Source organism: Homo sapiens, chromosome 8 (assembly GCF_000001405.40).
Source record: "Homo sapiens chromosome 8, GRCh38.p14 Primary Assembly".
NCBI lineage: Eukaryota > Metazoa > Chordata > Mammalia > Primates > Hominidae > Homo > Homo sapiens.
Window position 1 is genome coordinate 142,358,685 of NC_000008.11, and position 26,035 is coordinate 142,384,719.

The 26,035-nt window shown below is 54.1% G+C and overlaps 1 protein-coding gene across 36 annotated transcripts in view, besides 6 other annotated features; it reads right to left on the reverse strand.

Annotated features, from left to right (window-relative positions):
- Nucleotides 1–26,035, reverse strand: part of TSNARE1 (t-SNARE domain containing 1) — a 194,950-nt gene that overhangs the window by 146,605 nt on the left and 22,310 nt on the right. The gene's annotated exons all lie outside the window — the stretch shown is intronic.
- Nucleotides 1,113–1,613: an enhancer, noted in NCBI's record as "H3K4me1 hESC enhancer chr8:143441158-143441658 (GRCh37/hg19 assembly coordinates)". NCBI's record gives its function as "activates a minimal SCP1, AML or CMV promoter by ChIP-STARR-seq in primed H9 embryonic stem cells {active_cell/tissue: H9 hESC(primed)}" and the evidence as "EXISTENCE:reporter gene assay evidence [ECO:0000049][PMID:30033119]".
- Nucleotides 9,767–9,886: an enhancer, noted in NCBI's record as "active region_28060". NCBI's record gives its function as "activates an Ori minimal core promoter by ATAC-STARR-seq in GM12878 lymphoblastoid cells {active_cell/tissue: GM12878}" and the evidence as "EXISTENCE:reporter gene assay evidence [ECO:0000049][PMID:35858748]".
- Nucleotides 9,917–10,026: an enhancer, noted in NCBI's record as "active region_28061". NCBI's record gives its function as "activates an Ori minimal core promoter by ATAC-STARR-seq in GM12878 lymphoblastoid cells {active_cell/tissue: GM12878}" and the evidence as "EXISTENCE:reporter gene assay evidence [ECO:0000049][PMID:35858748]".
- Nucleotides 17,505–17,554: an enhancer, noted in NCBI's record as "active region_28062". NCBI's record gives its function as "activates an Ori minimal core promoter by ATAC-STARR-seq in GM12878 lymphoblastoid cells {active_cell/tissue: GM12878}" and the evidence as "EXISTENCE:reporter gene assay evidence [ECO:0000049][PMID:35858748]".
- Nucleotides 17,617–18,192: an enhancer, noted in NCBI's record as "H3K27ac-H3K4me1 hESC enhancer chr8:143457662-143458237 (GRCh37/hg19 assembly coordinates)". NCBI's record gives its function as "activates a minimal SCP1, AML or CMV promoter by ChIP-STARR-seq in naive H9 embryonic stem cells {active_cell/tissue: H9 hESC(naive)}" and the evidence as "EXISTENCE:reporter gene assay evidence [ECO:0000049][PMID:30033119]".
- Nucleotides 18,193–18,767: an enhancer, noted in NCBI's record as "H3K27ac-H3K4me1 hESC enhancer chr8:143458238-143458812 (GRCh37/hg19 assembly coordinates)". NCBI's record gives its function as "activates a minimal SCP1, AML or CMV promoter by ChIP-STARR-seq in naive H9 embryonic stem cells {active_cell/tissue: H9 hESC(naive)}" and the evidence as "EXISTENCE:reporter gene assay evidence [ECO:0000049][PMID:30033119]".

Sequence of the window (26,035 nt, forward strand, 5' to 3'; positions counted from 1 at the left end):
AACACGAAATGGCAGCACATGTCTTCTGCCTATTCACGGCCCCGCCCAGCAAGCCACTCTGGGCCCCTGGGGACACCTGGAATCCAGTGGGTGCAACCCCCCCATCGCTGGGAGACCACAAGGGGCCATGGGGTACTGAGCTGTACCAACCCAAACCCCCCAGGTGCCCCACGCTTCCACTTCCCTCCAGTGTCCGACTCAACCCCCATCCTGCGCTGGCCCAGCCCTCTCCAGTCCTGCCCCAGCCCACAGTGGCCCCTGTGCCCACACCGGCACCCAAGGTCTCTGGGAGCTGGGCCCTGTCCTGCCCCAGCCTCAGCTCTTGCTGCGCCCCTGCCCCACACCCTTGCTCACTGGGGGTTCTGCCTGTTTCACCCAGGCTGCCTCCCACCTCTGTGCCTTCACCCAGGCTGTTACTCGGCTTCCCCCATGCTGCCCCTGCTCCTCCACCCCGCAACCAGCTCATGCCCCCACTTCTCAACCCAGCTGTCCCACCGGGCCAGCCAGGTGCTCCCATCCTGACCTTCCTGCCCACACCTGACCTCAGAGCCCGATGCTTACCACACGTCAGGCCGAGCAACGCCATGCTCCATAAGATGCAGATGCCCACCTGTTCCCTGCCTGAGGGAGGCTGCACGCCCGCTGGAGCCGTCCTCACCCACGCTGGCCCGGTCCAGTGCATCATCACCCCAGCCCTGCCCTGACCTCAGCACATCCCAGCAGGCCAGATCGGAAACCCTGTCTCCTGTCCCTAATCAAGAACCCCCACAGGATTGGTCCACCCTTCACTGAGGGAGGAAAGAACAAGAAGCCCAGCCCTCACAGGTGCTGAGCCAGTGTCCTTAGACACGGCACCGCTCACGTCGCTGGATGCCACACAAGTCCATGAGGAGGTTCTCTCATGCAACCCATTCACGGGGGAGCCAGGGAAATCTCCAAAAGAGAATCTGACTGGCCCCAGGCCACCCAGAGCCCGCCTGCCTCACCTGCACCTGCTCAGCAGGCACTGGCCAGGTGCCTCACCTGTGTGAGCAATGCTGATCCTCACGACACTTGTGAGGCAGGACTTATAACCCCATTCAAGAAGAGGACACTAAGGCCCGGGGTCAGCCAGCCGTCAGTGCAGGGCATGAAACATGCCAGAAGGCCTCAGACACCCTGGCCACAGCATGCCACTCCTGTCCCAGCAGGAGCACACTGCCAATCACAGCTGGCATAGCTGCCCTGCCAGGAGGAGGGGTCAGCACCCAGGCATGCTGGCTCGCTCGGATGGGACTTCACCCGGACACCATGAGAGCCTCTCAGAAGTGAGCTGGGTGCAGGGAAGGGCTGTGCCACAGAAGCCAGGAAGGCAGCCGGGCACTGTGGGGTGCGGCCTTGAAGGCCTGGGCACAGCAAGAGAGGGAGCCAGGCCTTCCCAACCAAAGCACTCTGCTGAGTTCAGGACGCGGTGGCGCCCCCAAGAACTCCAGGAGAAGGCAGGCCAGCATAAGGGGCTGCACATGGGCAGGGGACCCAGCCAAGGCTAGCACTCAGAGGAGGGAGGGCTGGGCAGGCAGAGGCATGGCCAGGAGGGGATGTGGCAGAGGACAGGGACGAGGCATGAGGGGGACACGGAGTCCCTTGGGGGAGTGTGGCAAGGGCAGAGCGGGCACTGGCTGAGCCACATGTGGCTGAGGGCCTGGGCCAGGGCCGCAGAAGCCATTCGCAGCCCCGCTGAGCGGAAGCTGGCAGCGGGGCCAGGACGGAGGGGTGGGCAGAGGCTGCCAGGCTGTTTTGCCCAAGAATAGCCCGAGCTCCAGGGCTGCCTCAATGAGGCCGGACGGAGGCCAGGGACAATGCCCCACTTGCTCCCAAGGAGGCTTCCTACCGAGCTGCTTCCGTGCCCGCCGAGGCCAGCCACCAGCCCCTCAGGCTGGCGCCGGCCCTCCCCAGGGCCCCCGCCCCCCACCAGCCTGAAGGGAGCCGTCTGTCCTTGCACTGCCCAGATCCTGTTTGCAGGGCGCCGGGGGAAGCGGCGGTGCCAGGGAACACCCACCTCAGGCGTGCCACCACCCTGGCAACTCAGCCTGCCCCTGGGACAAAGCGCCCCGGCCCAGGAGGAGGGAGGCCTGGCAGCAGGCCACACCCACTGCCCACCGGGCTCCCGGCTCCAGCTCTGGGGCTCAGTCCCCAACTCCTGGGCTGTGGGGCCAGTGTGGGGGTCTTGAGCCCTTCAGTCAGACTCCCCAGTAGGGCCTCTGAGGCAGGGGGCCAGGCCCCCACACAGGCAGAGGACACCCAGGCTGGGCCACCCTTCCCCCAGCAGATGGGAACAGCGTTCCCCGGGCCGGGGCTTCCAGAACAGCTCCAGCCCCTCAGCCTGGCTTGAGAGCAGGTCGCCCACAGGGCCAGGCCCCACACAGGTCGCACCAGCTCTCCCGCCCCTGGTTTTCTCATCTGTCAAATGGACAGCAGTCCCTCCCTCACCTTCGGGCACGCGTTCTCTGTACCTCTGACCCGGGCACCGTGGTGGGGACACAGCAGCTCCAGACAGGCCTGGCCTGCTCTCGGAGACTCTGTGCTCCAGATGGGGACAGACGGGAAAGCGGCATCGTGCTTGTCCCATGGGGGAGGAAACGACAAGGGCAGCTGATTGGATGTGCCGGGTCAGTGAGGGCACCAGAGGCCCCGACAACTTGGGCTGCAGGACATGAGCGCAGGGACGGGCTCCTCGGGCGAGCCCAGGGCTGAGCCGCCAACCAGGACACACGGCAGCAGAGGCAATGGCAAGAAGCGGCGCTGCCTCCCAGGAGCGAGGGCACAGAAAGCAGCCCAGGGCCCACACCCAGACGAGGGGCCAGGGCACGGGCGACCTGTGGCCTCCACGGTGCCCACCTGCGGACCCAGTGTGGCTGAGCTCACGCATGGGCTTTCTGCAGCCCCCAGCCTCCCCTGTCCCCTGGGGAAAAACATGGTGACCGAGGTGGAGCTGAACTCACTCCCAGGGAGCTCAGGCTCAGGCTTGCCCTTGGCCAGTGGAACACATGCTACCTTCACACTCCCTAAATGAACCTCAGGCGAGCTCCACAGGCAAGGCCGGAAAAGACAGAGGGAGCTGTCAGTTCACAGGGACGGGTGCACACACACAGGGAGCAGAGGCCTAGATCAGTGGCCAGACCACAGCCAGACCCCGCTGCAGACCGCCGGGAGCCCTCAGCCGCGCCCCACCACAGGGAGAAACCACAACACAAATTTCTGCTCTCCAAAGCCTACCCTTTGGGGGAAACCAGTTTCCAGGGCAAAATGAAACTGCAAAGTTCAAGAGGAGAAACTGAATGATGGATGAGGCGCCCCGATGGCCTGCAGCAGGAGGGCTTGCTGTCAGCAGGGCAGCTGCCCACCAGGAGCCCCCATGGATGGCCACGCTGCAGCTCCTCTGCCGGGTGCGCAGCTTTCACCACACCCCTAACACAGCCTCTCCACAGGCAGGAATCAGACAGCGGCACAGGAAGGGGCAGTCCCAGGAAAAGTGAGCACCTTGTCTGGCATCCTACTCCCAGGCGGGAAGAGACAGAACCAGGACCCCAGCGGAGCTGTGGCCTCAGGGGTTGCTGCTGGAGCTGTCTTCCCACCGTGAATTAGCTGACTCCCTTACCTGGCCTCAACAGACCCACGTTGACAGCAGTAGGTCACCTCCCTGCCCTGGACATTATCGGCCTCTTTAGACTTCTCTGTATAATCCCTAAAAGCATTCAGCGTAAGGCAGAGAACACAGTCTGAGCCCACTTTCTGCTGCTGTAACAGAATGTCACTCACAGGGGAGTCTGTAAGGAAAGAGATTTCCTCAGCTCGTGGTTCTGGGGGCTGGGAAGTCCAAGACAGAGGGGCCTCCGGTGGAAGAGCATACAAGCACACTAGGCCGAGATCAAGTGGGGGCCAGCGCTTCCTCTCATCAGGAGATCACCCCCAGATACGGCAGTGACCACGACCCAATCACCTCTCACGGGTCCCACTCTTCATACCGTCACAATGGTGACTGGATTTCAATGAGTTTTGGAGGGGACATTCACACCACAGCACAGTCCCAGTCCAGGAGCAGAAGACCTGGCAAAGTCCCAGCTCAACCTCTAGCTGGATCTCTCTCTAGCCTGCTGTGTCCCAGCAAGTCCTGGCCCTTGAATCTGTTTCTTTCTCTGTAACATGGGACCAAGAAGGGAAATCTCAGAGGGTGGGTGTGAAGACCAGTGAGATGAAACATGTGAGCCACACTTAGGTCCAGGCAGGAGCTCAAAGCCCAACTTCCAAATCCCTGGACGCTCGGGTCCTGGCCCCATCCTAACTCATAGACATCTAGAAGGGTTCCTGACCCCCCAGAAGCCCACAGCCACCATGCTACACTCAAACAGACCAGTCTCCAAGCCGCCAGCACGGAAGAGGATCTTCTGTCATCTCCCCACGTGGCTGTGTGAGGGCTGTGGCTGCCTGTGCACTGGTATCTACTGGGGATGGCCCTACGGGTAGAGCCATCCCAAGACCATGTGGCCCAGAGGAAGCAGCAGGGCCTGGTGAGGAAAGCGGGGAGCCTCTGGATCCTGTTTCCTGGTTCCTCTAGCTCAGTATGGAGGCTGCTGGCCCTGCCCTCTGTAAGAAAATGTCATACAGATCCATCACCGGTGGAGGTGGCCTGGGGAGACGTGGCCTTTTCAGTGGGAACCAGGGGGAGAGGGAGAAGAGATGTGGGTTAAAGCCCCGATTCAAGGTGCACAGGGGCCTCGTGCCCCTCCCCAGCCCCATGAGCCTGGCTCCACTGCACCCATTCCCTAGGCCACCCGGGGCTTCTCACCAGCCCCCACAGAGCCCCTTCAAGGTGGCCTCTTGGTCCACTGGTCCCTGCAGGAACACAAAAACACAACCTGAAGACGGCGTTCCCAGGGAATCCTGAGCTGCCCAGCCTGCCACTCACCCTGAGGGCCAGACAGACACCACGAACTGGTCCCCACAGGAGCCTTCAAGCTGTGACTGATGTCCCCTGGACCACCCTCCCCTCTACTGCCCACTGCCCACAGAACCCACCAAAACGGCTCCCACCCATGAATGTGCCCTCAGGGTGCTTTGGAAGTCAACCGACCCAGAGATCTCAGGGTGAAGACCACGCACGCCCTCGCAAGAGACCGGGATACCCAATAGATGGTGCCTTGCGTCTGGTCACACCTGCTCACAAGACCATAGTCTCATGTGGAGATGTGTAGGACCTGTCTGGGGGTCAAAGGGGATGATGAGTGACGGCAGACAGCATGGTTCCAGGTGAGGAAGAAGAGTCACCTGTACCAGGAATTCTCTAACTGAAACCTCAATTTTTAAAAGGAGAAAACAAAACCTGGGGAGGGAAAATCACTTATCAAGGTCACAGGGACACAGCGGATCTAGAATAAGGTACCTGGCGCCCCATGGCTGCAGTGCCTTCTACCTGCCCCAGCTTCCACACTCAGGGTTCCTCGGCGCTCTCCCTGCACTGGCACTAAGGCCTGAGGTCTGCCCTCATGGCAGTCTCCCTGCTGGACCATGAGCTACGGAGGAAGAGAAGCATGTCCTCGTCATCCTACCCGCCACACTAAGCACTCCCGCGCTCACTCACCAAGCAGTGGTACTCGATTAGAACTTGGAGGAGTCAGCGTGAATTCATAGTTTTTAAGATGCACAGAGAAATACAGATATAGATGTGTGTGGGTATATATAATCACACAGGCACACTCATTTACATAGCTGAGTGTGTACATGACAGACATCTACTCCCTAGCTTTGTCCACTGAGAGGGCTGAGACACTACACACCCCCACAGCAATGGGCACACCCAGCACAGAGCTCTTGCTTCCTAAATACCACTCTTCACCGAAAGCAAGCAAGAGATATTAACATGTCTTAGAGAAATGGCTGATTCCAGGACTATACCCAGGAAAGTAAAAGATAAGTCTGGATCATGGAGCATGCTGTTATGCAAAAGAGTACGGAAGAGCTCAAATAAAGGTGGGGCATCTAAAAAGGACACAAGAACCAGCTTGAAAAGGCTGTCCCTGGCCAAATCTGGACAATCTGAGCATGAAAATAAATAATGATAAGAATTGTGTAATTCATTGAATAAAATAAAAATTTATGAGTCCACACTGTTATAGATGAATAAGTAGAAAAAAACAAGAAGAGCTTTTCTTTAGAGTAGAAAGCCAGCTAATAACTGTGGAAGGAATGATGGAACCAGCAACCAACAGGATAATCATTCATTCTGGTAAGAATGTCCAACAGATGTTAAAGCTAGTGTGTGAAGGCTTGATGAATAACAGGATATTTACATAATTGCAAAGGATCTTCCCTGAGATACTTATAAATTAAAAATGTAAGAAAATAACTTTACATAAGAGAAGTCTGGTAGGCATCATCTTAATCAAATGATCTAAGTCAGCATCATCAGCCATGGGACAAGCCAGCACCACATACCCCTCTGACACGATGCACAGAGAAGAACACCACTTCCATGATCTCCCTGCCCAAAGTGTGTGACTGTGAGAAACAGCAGAGACACTCAGACTGAGAAGAACTCACCGGCCATCTTCAAAATGTCAATGTTATCAAAGACAGGCAGACTGAGGTGTTGTCTGAAATAAAAGGAGGCTAAAGAGACAATCACTAAAACCAACACAGGATCTGGGATTTCATGTTACTAAAAAGGACGTTTTGCTAAAAAGAACACAACTCAAAAGGTCTGTCCTGTGAATATGAACACAACCTTTAGAATGGAGAAGCTATTGTATCCATGTCAATGTCCTGATCTTGATCACTGTGGTGTAGCTATACACATTGTGTATTTGGGGATCAAGGAGCATCACATCTGCAACTCACTATCAAGTAGTTCTGAGAAAAACCATCCATAAACACATGCACACGCACACACACACACACACACACACACACACACAGAGAGAGAGAGGGGAACAAAGAATAAACCAAATGAGGGGACATGTTAACATTTGGGATATTTGGGCAAAATATACACAACAAGTTTTCCTGTTAATCTGGCAACTTTTCTTTAAAACTAAAATTATGTCCAAAAGTCCTAAATTAAACCTAAAATAAAAACTCACTGGAAATTATTTTTTAATCATAGGAATAAATTGTAAAAGGTGCAAGCACTGAAAAGTGCAAAACATTACTAAAAGAAAGTGAAGAACATGTAAATGAGTGAAGAGACCTACCATGTTCATGGACAGGAACACTCAAGACTGTGCAGCTACAGCAGCTGATGGTTTTGTAGAGGAATTTGGCTGAACATTTCCAATGTGCCAAAAATTGTCCCAGGACACTGAAAATGAAGGATTTTTCTGATTGCTTTTTTTTCTTTTTTTTTTGAGAAGGCTGTTGACCAGGCTGGAGTGCAGTGGCACAATCTCAGCTCACTGTAAGCTCCGCCTCCCAGGTTCATGCCACTCTCCAGCCTCAGCCTCCCGAGTAGCTGGGACTACAGGCACCCACCACCACGCCCGGCTAATTTTTTGTATTTTTAGTAGAGATGGGGTTTCACCATGTTAGCCAAGATGGTCTCGATCTCCTGACCTCATGATCTGCCTGTCTCGGCCTCCCAATCTGATTGCTTTTATGAAGCATGTATAACCATGTCACCAAAACCTAATAAACCTAGTCTAAAAACAAGAAAAAGAAAAAATTACAAATGAATGTTATAAATATTGATGCAAAAATACTAAATAAAACACTAATAAATAAAATCCAAAACCCCCTCTGCTTGTTTTTCCCAGGAATGCAAGGCTAGCTCAACACGAGGACACTCACCAGTGCACTACACCATATTAACCTAAGAGACCTACAGGGAAAAGCTGGTGAGTTTCTCTACAGATGTTAAAAACAGCATCAACAGAGTTGAACGCTCATTCCTGATGAAAACACAAGAAGCTGTCTTATAATGATAAAATAAAGAACCTTTCATCCTAAACGAGCACCTTATTTAATAAATCACACTAGGAACAATTCCCGAAGATCAAGAAGAAAACAAAGGTGCCAGCTATCTCCAGTCCTATTCAACACTGTTATGGTGGTGTCAGCCAATGCAGTTAAAACAAGAAATCAACAAGACATTAAAAACAAAAAAAGAAATGAAACAAAATTCTCTCTCCTTGTAAATGATATGACAGTATACTTGGAAAACCCTAGCAAAACAATGTTAAAATCTGAACAATAAAAGACTCTGGTAAAGTATCAGGATATAAAATTAACATACAGAAATCCACAGCCTTCACATATACAGAAACCAGTCTGAGGCTGCCATGGTAGGAAAAAACCCATTTACAATAGCAACGAAAAATATAGTATACCTAGGAATAAATTTAACATGAAATGGGAAAAATCTCTACAAGGGGACTTTAAAGTATTTTAAAGTTCACAAAACTAGAAGTGATCAAACAGAAAGCTATCCCTTGTTCTTGAATAGAATGACTGTATCACAAAGACGTCAGTTTTCCTATCGCAATAAAAATACCATCATGCGTTTTTATGGAGCTGGACAAGTTGGCAGACAGTTCATATGGGAAAACAACAGGCAGTTCATCTAAGAAAACAAAGACACAAGAATAACTGGGAAAACGCTAAACAAAATGGGCTCGCACTTGCAGACTTTCAGAACCCTAGAGAGTGAAGTCCTGATGTGCGTTACAACAGGGACGGATCCTGAAAGCACCGTGCTAGGAGAGAGGAGCCAGACACCAAAGACCACACATGTTTGATTCCACTGTCATGAGAGGTCCGCAAGACGCAAATCTACAGAAACAGAAAGCAGACAGATGGACGCCGGGGCGGGGGAGGGGGAGGGGGACTAGGGAGTGACTGCTAATATATGTGGGCTTTCTTTTCAGGGTGATGGAGATATTCTGGCATTTGATAGTAATGAATGTACAACACTGTAAGTAGACTAAAATTCACTTAATTATACACTTCAAAACGGTGAACTTTAGGATATGTGAATTACAATGCTATTATAAAAATGCTAGAAAGCCTCTATAACTACAACTGTGCATGAAAATATAAATAGACCAATGGAATGAGGAAGAAAGTCTAAAAATAGAGCCACGTACACATGGAAATTTAGTCTATGATAAATGCGGCATCACAAATCAAAGAAGGACTTGTTCATAAATGGTGCTGAGACACCTGCTTAGACATTTGGAAAAAAATTGGTTCATACCTCACATAATAAAAAGAATACACTCCAAATGGATCATGGCTATCAATACAAAAAAGATAAAACAATCAAAGTATGTGCAGAAAAAATGAATTCCCCTTTAACCTCTATGTAGGGAAAAGTTTCCCAAGCAGGACTCAAAATCAAAATACTATAAAAGGGAAGACTGACACATGTCACAGCTTTTATAAAAGCAAGTGAACAAACAAAAAAAACTTCTGCATGGTTAAAAAAAAAAAGTACCCTAAGCAACGCAGAAAGACAACAGACAAGCAGGGAGAAAAGATTTGCAACATATGCCAAAGGACGAATATTATCCTTAACATATAAAGAGCTCATAAAAACTACAGGGAAACAAACAAAAAAAACAGGCAAAAGACACAAACAGAAAATTTACACACACAGGATATAAAACTGGTGCTTAAACATGTGAAAAGATTGTTCAAGCTGACTCATAACTAGAGAAGTGAAATTTATACTGGTTCGGAGAGTTCCCCTTCTGCCCATGACTAGGAAGCTGGAGAGAGTGCTGCCCGAACCTAACAATACGAAAAGGCCTGTCTCATCAGACAGCTGAAGCGTCAGGGCCATGGAGTAGCCTGAAACCTAAAGAAAGACAAGAGAGTCCCAGGAGAGAAGATGGGAGCACTGGTCTCTGCAGCAGAGAAAGGACGGGAGACCCCAGGGGCCACCCAGGCAGACAAGAAGAATGAAGCCACCTGGGCGGCCACATCCACTCACAAGCTCTTCTCCATGGGCTCAAGAGAAAGCCTAGCACAGGACAAGCCAGGACCCCTGGGGTGCAGGTGCCAGCAGACGGCAGACGGGCGGCCCTGCAGCTCAAAGACAGGAAGCCCCTCTCCCCTGAAGAATAAAAGTCCAAGCCTATGGGATAAGGGCCGCAATGGCTGAGTGCTGTGGCCCCAGGGCATTTGTGAACACCCACAGTGGCTAAGGAAGGGTCAAAAAACACCTTATGTCTCTGGAAAAGGGGCAGAGCACCTTCCTGGGCCCACTGCAGGAGTGCAAGAGAGGCAGAAAACACTCTCCTCTAAAGAGCAGCAAAGGACTCAAGCAGAGTTTGACTGTCGCAGGGAGAGGGAAGGGTCACTGTGAAACCCCCGCTCCCCAGACCAGGCCTGCCTGAGACTGAGGCTGCAATGAGACAACCGCCACCCGGCTGCCAGGCTTCCAACAGCCAGCAGACGCAGCTACTGCTGCAGGAGGGGAAACAGTGTGGGGAGAGACCACCTCTGTATCTGCAGCATGAGCACAGGAGGAAGCCCAACACTGCCGGGGGTAGGGCAGGAACACCCACCCACCTTGAACCCAAAGTAGCTCCAGAGGAATCTGCAGCCAGGTCATATACTGAGGGTAAAAACAGCAGCAACAAAACCCGAATCCAGGGCAACCCCTGACCAGCTGGACTCAACCCCACATAAATGGCCTAGCATAAGGGGCATGCCCATTTCTGAGCATAAATATTATTTATCTCAGTCTGCAGTCCTATAATTGAAGTCAAAATCAATCAAATCAATCAAAAAGTACAAGACACACAAGAACATTAGAAAAAGCAAACCACTGTCAAGTAACAAGACAATCAGCAGAGCCAGACTGAGGAGAGGTCAGAACCATCAAGGAATTTAAAATAACTATGGCTTCTATGTGAAAGGTCCCAGTAGAAAAGATGGACAAAATGCATGAGCAGTGGGGAAGCTCAGCAGAGAAATGGAAACTAACAGGAGGTCGCAGGGAAATGCCAACAATTAGAAACACCAGATGGAAATGAAGAAGCTTCTGGAGCTCTGCCATACACTCAACACAGCCAGGAGGGAAAAGTCAGTCAACCTGAAATTACCCAAACCAAAACACAGAGAAAAAAGTGAAAAAAGAAAACAAAAGACAAGCACCTACCAGACGTTATCAAACGTCCCAGCAAATGTTTAACTGGAATCCCAGAAGGTGAAGAGAGAGAGAACAGTGGCAGAGAATTTTCCAGAAAGAATGAAAGGCATTCACTCTAGACTGAATGTGTTTTCCAAGGTTGGAATCTAACCCCCAACATGATGGTGTTAGGAGGAGGGCCTTTTAGGAGGTAATGAGATCATGGAGGTGGAGCGCTCATGAATTGGATCAGTGCCCTTATAAATAAGACCCCAGAAAGACCCTTCACCCTTCTGCCACGTGAGGACACAGATAGAAGGCCCCATCTAGGAACTAGGACATAGGCCATCACAGGACACCAAATCTGCTGGCACCTTGATCCTGGACTTGCAGCCTTGAGAACTGTGAGAAATACATTTCTGCCATCTATGGTATTCTGCTATAGCAGCCTCAACAAACTGAGACAGTATCATCCCACAGACCCAAAAGGCCCAGAGAGGCCAGGTATGGTGGCTCATGCCTGTAATCCCAGCACTTTGGAAGGCCAAGGCAGGAACATCACTTGAGGCCAGAAGTTCAAGACCAGCCTGGCCAACAAAGTGAGACTCCATCTCTACAAAAAATAAAAAATAAATTTAAACATTCGTTGGGCACAATGATATGTGCCCAGCTACTCGGCAGGCTGAGGTGGGAGGATCACTTGCGCCCAGGAGTTTGAGATCACAGTGAGCCAAGCACCACCGCACTCCAGCCTGGGGGACAGAGTGAGATCCTGTCTCAAAAACAACAGCAACAACAAAACCCAACAACAACAAAAAGCTCAGAGAACACTACAGAAAATAAATACTAAATAAAAAAGAAGGTGAAAAGCACATAGAAATATCATACTCAACCTGATGAAAACCAAAGGTTAAAAAATCTTGAAGCTGACAAAGAAAGAATACAGACTGCATGCAAAGAAATGAAGAAAAGAATTACAGCTGACTTTCCTTCAGAAATCATGCAAGCCAGAAGACAATGGAGTGACATCTTTAAAGTGCTGGGAGGGAAAACAAAAAACAAAAAAAAAAAAACCTGCAAGCCAGAATTCTATACCCAGTGAAAATATCTTCAAAAATGAAGTAGAGAAAAAAAGCTGCTGACCTAACTACCTTCGGAAAACAGCATTCTGACTGGAAATGTCAGACTAAAGCAAAAGGGACTGTATAAAAACACTACACTTCAGCTGCCAAGGCTGTTTCTCACAGGTACAAGAGGACATCATTTCAGATCCTACAGACATTCAAAGAATAAGGAGGGAATATTACTAACAACTTTATGCCCATAAATTCAACAACCTAGATGAAATCAACAAATTCCTTGAAGGACGCAACCCTGAACAGCCTTGTATCTATTAAATACACATTGAACTGATAGTTAAAAACCTTCCATTAACAAAAACTCCAGGCCTAGAGGCTTCAGAGCAAATTCTATCAAACATTTAAAGAATACCAAATACATAAACTCTTCCATGAAGGGGGAAAAAAAACCCTGCAGGAAGCAAAGTCGGGTGAATGGCTGCCAGGGGCTAGGGGTCGGCCATAGGGATGGACTGCAGGGGGCAGGAGAAAACATCCTGGGCGGTGAAAATGTCCGGTGTCTTGACGACAGTGGTGATGCACGACTGTACAAATTCATCAAAATTCACTGCACACTTAAAAGAGTAAATTTTATTGTATATAAATTATACTTCAATAAGGCTGACATCACAAAAACAACCAGACAACACTCATTAATCATGACAGCAACCAGGATCACAGTCACCCTTGTGAGGAGGTATCGGGCTGTAAAGGAGCACAAAGGCAACTTGCAGGCGTTGGAAACACTCTGTTTCTGTATCGAGGTGGTGGTTCCAGGGGTGGATACACCTGCAACAATTTGTCAGGCTGTATACTTAAGGTATGTGTCTCTTACCATACGTGAGCTAAACGCCAACTCTTAAAAAAAAGAGTATGAATACAAATTTTTAGCCTAAGCTGAGGGTTGGCAAACAACAACCCACAGGCACTCTGCCTCATCTGCAGTAAAGCTTTGCTGGCACACAGCCACGCCCATTCATCCATGAGTTGTCTATGGGCTGCTTTTGTACCATGGGGCAGAGCTGGGTAGCTGCAACAGACACTCTAAAGCCGGAGAACACCAACATATTTACAGTCTGGCCCTTTCCAGGAAATGTGTGGTGATTCTGGTTTAAGCAAATGGAAGAACAGGGTTGCCATCAACCAAGGAGACGAAGGCTGTGAGAGGAGGTGGTGGATTCTGAATTCTGCTTGGCAGACATTAACCTTGAGAAGCCACCTCACTGAAAACACAGTATGGGCAACTGAACACAGGATCTGATCTCAGGGGAGAGGCTAGGACTGAAAGACCCACCACGGGAGCCTGACCCCGCAGGTCCGCAGCACGACAGACAGAGGATGGGCCCTGGGCATGTTCACTGCAGCCTCAGCTCCTGGGACCTGGCATCTGGCAGCAGAGTGGGAGGAGCCCCACAACCATTTGCTGAAAGAATGAGAGAAAACCAGCGAAGGATGAGTGGGAGGGAGAAGGGAAGGGAAGAGCTGGAGAGGCTGGGACACGGAGTACAACCATGAATGTCAGCCTTACAGCAGCCACAGGATGGACCCCCTCTTTAAGAGTGGGCACACTGGCTTTGGAAGGATGAGAAGAGAAACTGGGCCCCAGGGACAGACAGAGGCTGCGGGGTGGAGCGGGGGTGCTGGCTTCCCTCACCCCTCATGTGAGCAGCAGGGGCAAAGGGGCTCCTGCCTGGGGGCACCCCTGGCACATTCCCGAGCCTCTGTGCCCCTCCTCCATGAAATGGTCTTAGCAATGCTGGAGGATGAGCTGAGCTCACATACGCAGAAGGACCCGGAACATCCCCAAGGGCCTCCTCCTGAGAAGGCCACCCCACCAGTGCCATTTCCTTCCCTGCTGTGCCTCTCCCAGCAGACTCCCCCAGGCCTCCTCTTGAGAAGGTCACCCCACCAGTGTTGTTTCCTTCCCTGCTGTGCCTCTCCCAGCAGACTCCCCCAGGCCTCCTCCTGAGAAGGCCACCCCACCAGTGCTGTTTCCTTCCCTGCTGTGCCTCTCCCAGCAGACTCCCACAGGCCTCCTCTGTGGCCTCTTGGCCAAGCCCCTGCCCCTGATTTCTGGACGCTTTTTCTTGCTCCACTCCCTCCCTCTGTCCCTCCATCCTACCCCTCAGCCTGTCCTAGGCCTCCCCCGTCACCTGTCTGCTGAGACCCCTGAGTGGGTCTCTCTCTCGGACTGTGTCTGTGTCTCCCTCAGCCTCTGTCTCTGGGTGTCATGAGAAGAAAGAGAGGAAGGGAGGCCTCACAGGACCAGGCAGCAGGCATGTGAGCCCAGCCTGGAGCTGGGCACAACTCCCTTAGGAAGAAAACCATCTGGTCTGTGAAGGTACTGCAGGGTGCAACCTGGGCTACGGCCATGGGAGTGGGTTCAGGCCCGGCCATGCTGCCACCCTCAAAGGACAGCTGGGTGATCTCAAAGGTCCAGCCAGGTCTCACCCTGACTGGCGGCTGGGAGAGAGGAGGCTGGGAAAACACCCACAGGGAAGGCCAGCAGCGGGATGGCAGGGCCAATCCAGACTCCCGCCAATACCCCACCTGGCCCAAGAAACCAGGACACAGGCATCAAAGACAACATCAAGAGGGGTTCACTGCCATCCTTCAGGAAGAAAGCCCGGCAGGCCCACGAGCTCCATGGGACCCTGAGACCACACCACCATCCTACAGCTGATGGACGCTGGCCCCTGCTCTCTGTGACGCCCCCACCCCCACCCCTCCTTCTACCTCTGACACAGGGACCTGCCACAGGAGAGAGAAAGTGAGTCAGGCAAGGAAGGGCCGAGCACAGAAAACCACCAGAGACCTGCCTGCTGCCCATCAGGGCGAGACCTAGACCTCCGGGATCCAAGAAGACAGCCTTACCCACTCCAGGCAGAGGCAAGCAGGCACACACAGGAGAGGGAGCTAGGCAGGGGAGCGGGGAAGCGGGGAGAGGGACGGCCAGGGAGGAAGGGCTCAGAGCACAGCCAGCGGCACACCCAGGGGATTAAAACATCAACAAGAAGAAACACCTCAGGCTCCAGGTAATACACTGTGTGTGTGGAGCAAAGGGGAAGTCTCCAGGAGGCGTCAGTGAGGAAAAAAATTAAAAGACTAAAGTTCAGGCCAGGCGACATGGCTCATGCCTGTAATCTCAGCACTTTGAGAGGCTGAAGCAGCCAGATCACTTGAGGTCAGGAGTTCGAGACCAGCCTGGGCAACATGGTGAAACCCCGTCTCTACTAAAAATACAAAAGTTAGCCAGGCGTGGTGGCCCACACCTGTAATCCCAGCTACTGGGGAGGCTGAGGCAGGAGAATCGCTTGAACCCAGGGAGGCGGAGGTTGCAGTGAGCCGAGATTATGCCATTGCACTACAGCATGGGAGACAGAGCGAGACCTAGTCTCAAAAAAACAAAAGAAAAAGAAAAAAAAAAAGACTTCAGTTCACTCACTGGGGACTTGGCTTCCAGGCAAATCACTTTAGAAGTGGGAAATGCGGCTGGGTGCGGTGGCTCACGCCTGTAATCCCAGCACTTTGGGAGGCCGAGGTAGGCGGATCACGAGGTCAGGAGATTGACACCATCCTGGCTAACATGGTGAAACCCCGTCTCTACTAAAAATACAAAAAAATTAGCCAGGCGTGATGGCGGGCGCCTGTAGTCCCAGGCTACTCGGGAAGCTGAGTTAGGAGAATGGCATGAAACCCAGAGGCGGAGGTTGCAGTGAGCCAAGATTGGGCCACTGCATTCCAGCCTGGGCGACAGAGTGAGACGCTGTCTCAAAAAAAAAAAAAAAAAAAGTGGGAAATGCATGAATTATGGCCCCTGGAGAGTTTTCTCAAACAAAGACCATCTGAAAAGGGGAAGGAGGCTCTGAGAAGGCTCTGGAAACTAGTGGGGGCAGGGAGGGGCTGGGGCGGAGGAAGGAGAGACTCAGCTCAGCCTGGGGAACAGGCGCTGGCCTCGGGCTGCCCTGGGAAGACCCCACACACATCCAACTGCTGCTACCAAACCAATCCACATTTGACAGAACCCGCCAGGGACCCGGCGCCAGGCAGGTGCCCAAGCACCATTAGTTCCTGTCCCCTTTCCCCAGGGAGGAGACAGGCTTGCTGGAAAGACCCAAATTTAGGGTCACCACACCTCAACCACAGTACTCGACCACAGTACCCAACCAGAAGAAACAGAAGTGGGTCTCACACAGGGGTGGCCCCATTGGTCACAGTACACTCCAAGCCTGCCACGTGCCGGTCCTGTCCTAAACACTGGGGTACAGCAAGGGACAAGCCACACATCTGCTTCTGGGTGCCCGTGAGAATGGGGCAGTCTCCCAGCTGCTCCCGGCACCCACAGCGGACAACTGCATGTGGCCCCTTGAGGACAGGGGTGCACACCCAGGGCCTGGCCTGTGCTGGACAGAGAGCAGCAGTGGAGCGGTGCCCCGGGGGAGGGCGGGTAGCAGGTGAGGAGCGCCACACGTGGTGGTCAGAGCAGTGCGGGTGTGTCCCTAAGTCTCTGCAGGGAAAGGAAGCTGGGCTGGCAGAGGATGGCGCAGGCCCTGGCAGGGCAGGCACTGGCAGGACATGCCCTGGGGCTGGGCGCCAGCTTCCTCGGCTCCAAGGGGACCCGCCAGGCAGGCCTGGCAGCAGCTTCCTGAATGCTCAGCCCACTGGGCAGCCTTCGGTGCACCTCCCGGTGAAGTCCGCCATCCAGCTCACCACAGTGCACACTGCATGCTCTCTCAAAGGTCTGACCCTTCAATTAGCAAAGCAAGTGGTTCAATGAAAATGAAATCCTGCCTGTGATGCCACCAGCACTCAGCTGCTGGGCCAAACTCCCCGCACAGAGACCCCCAGTCATGGCAACTGAGGCCCAGAAGATGCGGCTTCCTAGCAGCAAGAGCCTGCTTGCTCCCAGGCCTGGCTGGCTCCCATGAGGCTCCAGCTTCCAGCACAGGCCCAGGCTGGGGTTCCAACTGATAGAGATGTGTGGACGCCTGCAGGGTGTAAGGAGAGAGGAAGAGGGTGGGCAAAAGCAGCGGGCAGGGCCTCCTAGATCTGGCTGCCCCTCCAGGTCCATGGGTACAACAGAGGCCCCTGTGCTGGACACTTCACAAGTCGGACCAGCCGCTATAAACATACGGAAAACATGGTCCCAGCAGAGTCGGTGGACACTGCAGACTGCAGAGTCCGCGCCTCCCTGACCTGCGTGCAACCTTCAGAGAATCGCTCCATCTCTCTGAGTCTATCCACATAATCCAAAGTGCAGGAGCAATTTGCACCCCGCAGGGCTACTGAACGGGTGAGAAAGGGACAAGGGTGTGTCTCACGCAGTGAGACTCCACATGTGTCTTGGTGCCCTGTTTTCCCCTGAGGGGAACTTGAGAACCGCAAGGGCGACCCTGGGGCCCAGTGAACCCTGCTGTGGTCTGAATGTTCGTGTCCTCTGCAAGTTCCCACTTTGAAATCCTGCCTCTAAGGCGATGGCGTTAGCAGGTGAGGCATTTGGGTGGTGAACAGGTCATGAGACAAAGCCCTCATCAGTGGGATGAGTGCCCTTGTCAAATGGACCCCTGAGAGAGCTCCGGCCGTCTTTCCACCATGTGTGGGCACAGCAAGACGTCAGCGGCCTGCAACCCAGAAGAGGGCCCCCCAGAACCACCCCTGCTGGCACTCTGATCTCAGACTTGTAGCCTTCAGAGTGATGGGAAATGAGTGTCTGTCACCAGCCAGTTCATGGTATTTGTTCACCAGCCTGAATGGACTGAGAAGCTCCATGGCCTGGAGAAGGTGTCAGGCAGAGAGACAAGGCCAGCTGGAGAGCCCACCCAGACACGGGACTCCCAGGGCCCGGGCATGGGGGCTGTAACCCCGAGTGGCAGACCCGGGGCCTGGAGTGCCAGGGAAGCGTGTGCCGAGCCATCAGTGGACACCCCGCAGAGAGGCCAGCCCTTCCTTGCCCTTCCCCTAGGCCAACAGCTTCAGGCTGATCAGCAGAACCTGGGCAGAGCAGGGAGAGCCACACAGGACCCTGGGCTCAGGAAGAGAGGGAAGCACTCCTGAGTCACACAGGAAGCAGAGGGCAGCTACTGGCAGAGCCCCACACCTCAGGCCTGCCCTCCTGTCCCATCTCTCTGCTGTGCCCACCCTGCCACCTCCCCCCGTCAACGGGGGACATGGCAGCACCCTCAGAGCCCATCCCTCCAAGAGCACGTCCCCTCATGTTCTCCGCAGACACTCCTCATCCAGCAGCCCAGAAACCAGCAGGTGACTTGGGACAAAACATACTCCAGCTCTTCATCTCATCAATTACCCAAGATCTATCCCAGATAGACTAAAGGGCTACATCACTTACAAATCAAAAGTAAAACATTAAGACAGCCCCAAAGAAAACATCTACCAAATACAAAAGCAACGTTATCCACACACACGAACACAGACTTGGCAGCATACTAAAAAAAAAAAAGCTTCTATAAGTTAAAATGCAACATAGGCAAAATTAAAAGGCAAAAGATAAAGTGACAACATATTTGCAACAAACATGACAAAGGCTGCTACCCTCAATAAATAAGGCCCTCCTACAAATTCATTTTTAAAACATTCAGACATAACATGAACTAAGTCAGGGCAGCGTGCAGGAAGGCAGGCGAGCGCCCCAGCAGCATGACAAATAACCCAAGAATCGCAGGAAGGCTGCTCCCAGCCAGAGGATGCCAGCACCTGCCATCGGGTTAGTGCTGGTGCATAACTGGGGGAACGGCAGGGACCCCAGCCTCAGACACAGCTTGTGGGGGTGCGAAGCAGCACAGGCCCCTGCAAAATGATCATGCAGAGGGACCCCTCTTCACTGCACCCCCAGAGCTCTGCTCCAAGGAATCCAGACAGAAACTACCAGAAGCTGGAAGCACTGGAAACAAAAATCAAGTAGCTGGAAACGTCCTAAAGACTCAGTAATAAATAAATAACAAACCATGCTACTCATTTATATAATATGCAGCATCTCTAACCAGGGTCTATACACGTGTCTTTAGTGATGTGGGTAAGTGCTCAGAGATGCCGAAGTGGATGGGCTGCATGTGCATGCGTCACACAGCCATCCCACACAGGGATCCGCGCGGTGAACTATGCGGTCCTTTCTGATATCAAGACGCAGCAGTCCCTGATCCAGCCACTGACACCCCCAAGCACTTACATGCTGGAAAGGCGCAGCCCCAAGACCCCGTACACCATGGTCAGAGCAGCCTTGTGCCGATTGCCCCAAACAGCCCAGGACACAGGACAAACCCTGGTCTGTCCACACACGGGAACACCGCTCAGCATCACAAGGGAGAAGGCGCGGACGCCACACCCACAGTTCAGGAAAGCAAAAGCAGCCAGGCCAAAGAGAGTCATGCTGTGTGATACCATTTACAGAAAATTCTAGAACAGGCAAAAGTCGCATGTGGTGACAGAACTCAGAAAGGCATGGGAGGGGCACAAGGGACTCTCTTGGGGTGGAAGATCACCTTCGTGGCACGAGCAAAGACAGCCATCAAAACTCATCACACGGAACACTGGGGAGCTGTGTGTCCTACTGTGTGTTAATTATACACGCTTGAAGTTTGCGCACTTGCACAGCAAAAAGACCAGAAGGAGATCTATTACAAAGCCGAGAGTAAAGTTCTCCCAGATGTGACAGCAGGCATGAGCCTTGAATCCACCGCTCAGGGTAAGAAGCCAGTCCCAAAGCACCACGTGTCATCCAAGGTCATTTACAGGAAACGCTCAGAACCCACAAATCCACAGAGCCAGAAGATAGATTAGGGGTTGCCCAGAGGTAACAAGGAGACAACCTCAGTAGCTGCTCCTGGTGGGCCTCAGGGAGCCAGTAAGCTACCGCCCAGAGGTCCTTCAAGGCGCACGGGCGTGTTAGGTGCTCCAACGGGCACGGGTGTGTTGCCAACAGCCCACCGCAGGCCCAGCACCCTTGGTTCCACGGCAGCCTCTGAGTGTGAGCTCCTCTGAGGCCCCGGGTGGCGCACCCTTCAACACCCAGGGCTGGCCCAGGCAGACACCCTTCCCACCAGCAGGCTCTGTGGTCGCCAAGCTCACAGGGCACTCTCATAGCTCCCTGGATGCGGCTATCATGCCAGCCTTGGGAGGACTAGGCTAGCAGCATCCCTTTGCAGAGGACTCTCAGAGCAGAGGACCAAGCCCGCAGCAGATCAGCACGGATCAGAGCAGCTCACACATGTCCTCCCACCCCACGTCAGCGCCTCAGCAGCAGATGCGGCCTCAAATGCGTCAGTCTCCTCATCTGTATAGTGGGCATGCCTCAGCGGGCCGCTGCCAGCAAGGACAGACCGTCCGTCACGGAGTAGGCACCACACCTCTGAGTAAGCCTCCAGGGGCTGCCTCTCCTCCTAACCCCCAGACTCAAATGCCCCCAACCTCGCCCTCCCAGTGAGCAGCAGCTCTGCACTCGTGCTGCGCTCATGTCTGGGGCCAGCCAGCAGGGGGATGAGCCGCACGCTGGCCGAGGGGCTACGCTTGCCCAGAGGTGCTTGTCTGGGAAAAGGGAGAGTGGTTTCACAACTTCTAAAACAAACACGGCCAACACCACTCCTGCCAGGGGCACGATGGGGAACGGGGCGGGGAGGCCCACTTGTCCTTACACCTTCGTTTCCTAATTCAGTTTTCAGGGTTCAACGTGCCACAGGTACTTCCACACCCTTGAAAGCCCTTCTCTGCCTGACGGGGAGGCGCGAGACCACACAAAGGAGAAGAGAGACCCCACCAGACAGACGCAGCCCCCAGTGCTCCGCCCAAGCCCCCAAGTCAGGTGTAGGGCCCCAGCTCAGGGCTCCAGCTTTACGGGTGGGGCCAGGGCTGCCTCAGCCTCCAGGGCTCCAGGCTGCTGACATAGGCCTGGCAGGGCCAGGGGATGCCCCAGTGCCACCCACCCAAATCTGCCTAGATCTACAGCCTTCAGCAGGCTCTTATCCCAAGCAGGGTTCTGTGGTCCCTGAGGGAAAGGAAGCATCTAATCCCCCTCTCCCCAGGGTCTGAAGGGCCTTCTTGTGCCGCTGCCCCCAGCAGAGGAGAGAACTGACACTGGAGGGAGAGGGCAGGAGAACATGTGGGTCTCGCACACTCCCCACTGCCAAATCTGCGCTGGGAGTTCCAGGTCACAACAACAACAATAAGAGTGGGGAGGTGGGTGGACACCAAGGCCAAGCTTTGTCCAGGGCGTACCACGTCACCAGGCACTGTCCTAAGCACTGAACTCATTCCCACCTCCCAACAACTCCACAGGACAGAAACGGAGACACAGATGAAAGAACAAGGAGAGCCTGCAGCACGTCCATGGGGAGGCCGGGCCTTGCCCTCCGCAGATGGATGCAGAGCCCGGGGTCCCACCCATGGCCAACGGCCCCTTCCTCCTTCCGGGCACCACCGGACACAGCAGCAGCAGGCCACAGAGCAGGGAGGACGCAGCTGGGACACTCACCTGGGGCTCTGTGGGCCCAGGACAGGCTCATGGCATCGTGGAGCCTCCTGCGGGCTGAACTGCATGGAGGGCAGAGGGGACAGACCCTGAGGCAATGTGCCCCTATCACGCTGCATCCTGACCCCGCCCCCACCCCTGCACTCATCTAGCCCAGGCCACCCCACTTCTCACAGCAGCCCCTCCATGGGGCTCCCCAGCCAGACTGTAGGCTCCCTGCAGAGCCCCTCCCTCTGTCCCCTGCCCAGAGGACAGTCCTGCCTCCCTCACGGGGAAACAGCAAGTGTGGAAACAAGCTGTGTGGTGAGGCTGAAAGTTGGTAAAATACCCGTAACGGAAAAAAGACTGCAAGGAGAAAACGCTCCAGGAAAGTCTGAGTGGCCACCAGGGACGGCCCACGGCGGATGCCACCGACACCACCTGCTGACAGGCGTGGTCTGAGTTTTCTACAAGGAACGAGTACTATCTTAGGAAAGTGAGATAAAGTCCTTTTAAGAAATAATAAAGGGGGGGGAATGCTGCAAAATCTTCCATTGCCCTTCTCTCCTCGCCCTCACCCCCCACACACACATGCACCTGCACACACACCTGCACAGCTGGCCTCCCAGCATCACCCACAGCAAGTCCCTGGCTCCAGCCTCAGTCCCAGCACTGCAGACTCAAAGCAGGCACACAGCTTCCCAGGCCTCAGCAGCCAATCAGGGCCGTCAGGGCCTTGCCCTGGCCCAACTGCTGGGCTCCAAATCATCTTCAGAATCAGTGCCAGAAGCTGCTCCCCTGGGAATCCTGCCCACCCTTGTCCCTTGACCTTGGAGCACCAGGGAAACTCCTGTCTCCACAGCATCCACCCAGCCCAGGTCCCTGTCGGGCCATGGGCAGCCCAAGGCCATGTCTCAGCCACCTCCATATGGCCAGCACCTGCCCACTCTGTGATGGTCCCAGGATGAATGGCTAAACCCCACGGCCGGGCAGCAGGTGTCCAGGGAAGTGAGCTGCCCAACGCACTCCTGTCAGTGCTGGGGGAGCCTCCGGCCTCCCCCTTCCAGCACCCAATGGGCTCTCCCCTTGCTAAAACCTATCAGCGCCCCCCCCCACCCCACCAAGCACAAGGGTGGAGGTCAGGGTGGGCTCAGGGACGGTGGCACAGGCAGGAGTGTGTCTTGGAGCTCAGCGCCCTTTCTGGGAGACCCCAGAAGCAGAGGCAGGCGCCCAGCAGTGCTGAGGGGTCTGGAGTGAGGCAGGAGAAGGGCAGCACCCAGGGGAGCCACACACCTAAACGAGGAGGAGCCACGTGGGGCAAACCACAGAGTCTTCCAGTTTCCTTCAGTGGGAGTGTCAGCCCCAGGCTGTAAGCAAGTCCCCAACCCCAGATGACCTGGGCAAGCATCGTCACCTCCCCGCAGCTCGGCGTCCTGGGCCAGCCCCTAATGGAGCAGAAGACAAGCCCTGCCTGCCTTGGCATTGGGAACAGGCAGCGCCCGCGGGTGCCGCAGCTCATCCTGCGTGTGGGAGACACTGAGTCACAGCCACGGCTCATGCCCGCACCCACTCTCAGACGCTGCCCAGTCCTCCCCTCGGTGAGCAGGCCGCCACCTCCTCCTCTGACGGGTACCTGACACCCCCCCTACACACAGGCCAGATGCTCGGTGGAGGAGGCCTGGCCGTTCCCAGGCCCACGCGCCCCTGCCAGCATCAGCCCTGTGCAGCCTCCGTGTGGAATGGGGCCCCTGCGCATGGGCATCCGAGTGGCATGTGTGAGCGTGTGTGCTCATGTGTGCGACAGAGAGCCAGAGGAGGAGGAGGGCCCAGCTGGGGAGCTGCAGTTACATGAATCAGTGTTGTTATAGCAACTTCAACTCCACGTCAAGCAGAATGCCAGCCGGGCACCCCCAGGCACCTCGTAGACCACGCCCAGAATCAGCGGTGGAGAAGCACCGATCGCTAACGGCACAAATGGGCGGTCAGAACACCAGCAACACACATCCTCTTTCTCCCTCCCAACCTCCATCATTCCCCGGGAGGCCGGCCTCTGCCCACTGACCAGCTGCCGGCACTGCCCGCCAGTCCCTTCTGCTCGGGATGGCAGCAACAAACAGCAAGATGCCAGCGCCTGAGTCATGCGGGCAGGGGGCAGGGAGCACCCCTGCACGCAGCTGCACACAGCCCAAGAGTCATGCTGTGCCCTCAGGCAGGGACCTCCTGGCAGAGAGAAGGTCTGGCCATGGGGTGGCCAGGAGAAGCAGAGCCACCCACTGTCACCTTCAGGCCATAAGGAGGAGGGGACCCATGGGCCCCATCCACTCAGGCACATTTCACTCCAGAGGAAAGCTGTTCACTTCACCAGAGGCCAGCTTTCCAGGAGAGAAGGGGCCCGGTAGGCCCTGCCTAGGGCCAGTGGCCGTCACTTCAGTGAGCTCCCAGGTCTGTGCGGAAGGCACTTTTCTGTCCTTCCACAGATCACAGAGTTGGAGATCAACCACGGAGTGGGCCCGGCCCTCGTCCAGGGTGGAGGCAGCAGGCAGCAGGCGGTGAGGGCCCGAAGTGCAGGCTCTTCACCACTGTGCTGGAAGCACAGCCCCAGCCGAGCAGGGTCTGGGGGGAAAGGAGGGCAGGGGGGCAGGAAAGGGGCCTCAAGAGAAGGTGGGGACCCTCTCTGGAGAAGGGCACAGGGACCCACAACAGGACAGGGAAAGGCTGGCCCTAGCCCTGCCTGGGACCAAGAAGAGCCCCGTCATGCAGGTGGTTTTCCTACAGGCAGCCTCAGAAACAGGGGTGGAGTCATAGGCCACAGGACCTAAGGGAGGGGAGACAGGAGAACCAGGGGTCAGTGTGCGTGGAGAACAACCCAGGGTCAGGCTGGTCAGCAGCAGCTGAGAGAGAGCTGGAGAAAGACAGGCCAGGGCAGGGCACAGAGGCTGGGTAAGACGTGTGGTCAGAGAACAGGATGCTGCCACTTCAGGGCCCAGAGACAAGGCACCACCCAGTACAGAGTGCAAATGCCAGACAGCCATCCTCTGTGGGAGGCCCCAAGCACACCCAGGACAGAGTGCAAATGCCAGACAGCCATCCTCTGTGGGAGGCCCCAAGCACAGCTGGCCAGGCGCTGTCCGTGGTGCTGAGAGCCACAGACGGCAAGCTGCCCCCACCAGCCTAGTCCACACCCACTAAAGCCTCATGGGGTCTTCCCTCTCCCAGCCTCAAGCTCAGCACCTGCCAGAGCTGGAGGCCCTACTGTCACGGCAGGGGGCAGGAGTGTGGACACGTATTTGCTAAGTGCCTACTGTGTGCAGCCACCAAAAGAGGCACTGGAACATTTCCTTTTTCAATGTTCACAACCCTAGGAGGTTATCAAGGTGAGGAAACTGACCTCGAGTGTTAAGTATGGCTACGTACATATTTTTCCTATTTCCTTCTAGAACTCACCTTAAAACAACAAGGAGAATGCCCCCACCACTGCTACCAAATTAACAAAAAGTTTGAAAATCCAAGCTTCACGTTTAGAAAAAACAGGAAATAAATACAATCTATAGGCCCTAAAGCACAAGTGAGGGCTATGACCAAGAACAGAGAGGGCAGGCAGGGCCCACACAGGAGGGAGTGAAGCAGCACTGGCGGTAGAAGGGGTGCAGTGCAGCACCTGCAGAAACATGTTCCCTGAGCATGGCCACTGACCCAGAACTCAAACGCCTTTCTTTGTCACACCACCAGCAACAGAACCGGGTGAGAAGGGCTGGCGTCAGGAGCCTCCTGAACAGTCGACAGACCCAAGCAGCAGAGTAGGGACCATACACGGAGTCACTAAGAGAGCCACATGTGCAGTCTGCCTCCGTGGCAGGGCTGCAGGAGAAGGAAAGGGCCTCTGGAAAGCTACTGTATCCCCTACATCCCCATCCCCTGCCTCTCTGAGAAGGAAGCTGCAAGGACTCTTACAAGAAGCTGGCCCAGAAAAAAACTAACACATTCTAAAATGAAATAAAACCCAATAGCCAAAATAATCTTGAAAAAGAAAAATTTGGAGGCCACATTCTTCCTGATTTCAAAACACGCTACAAAGCTACAGTAATCAAAACAGTATGGTAGGGCATGAAATCAGATATATAGACCCAAAGAATAGAATAAAGAGCCCAGAAATAAGCCCTGGTGTATACATGGTGATATGATCATCAACAAGCATGCTAAGACTATTCAGTGAGAAAAGGATCATCTTTTCAACAAATGGTGCTGGAAAGACTGGATAGCCCCACGCAAAAGAATGAAGTTGGATCCTCACCTTAAACCACACACAAAAATTATCGTGAAATGTATCAAAAGCCTAAAAGTAAAAGCTAAAATTAT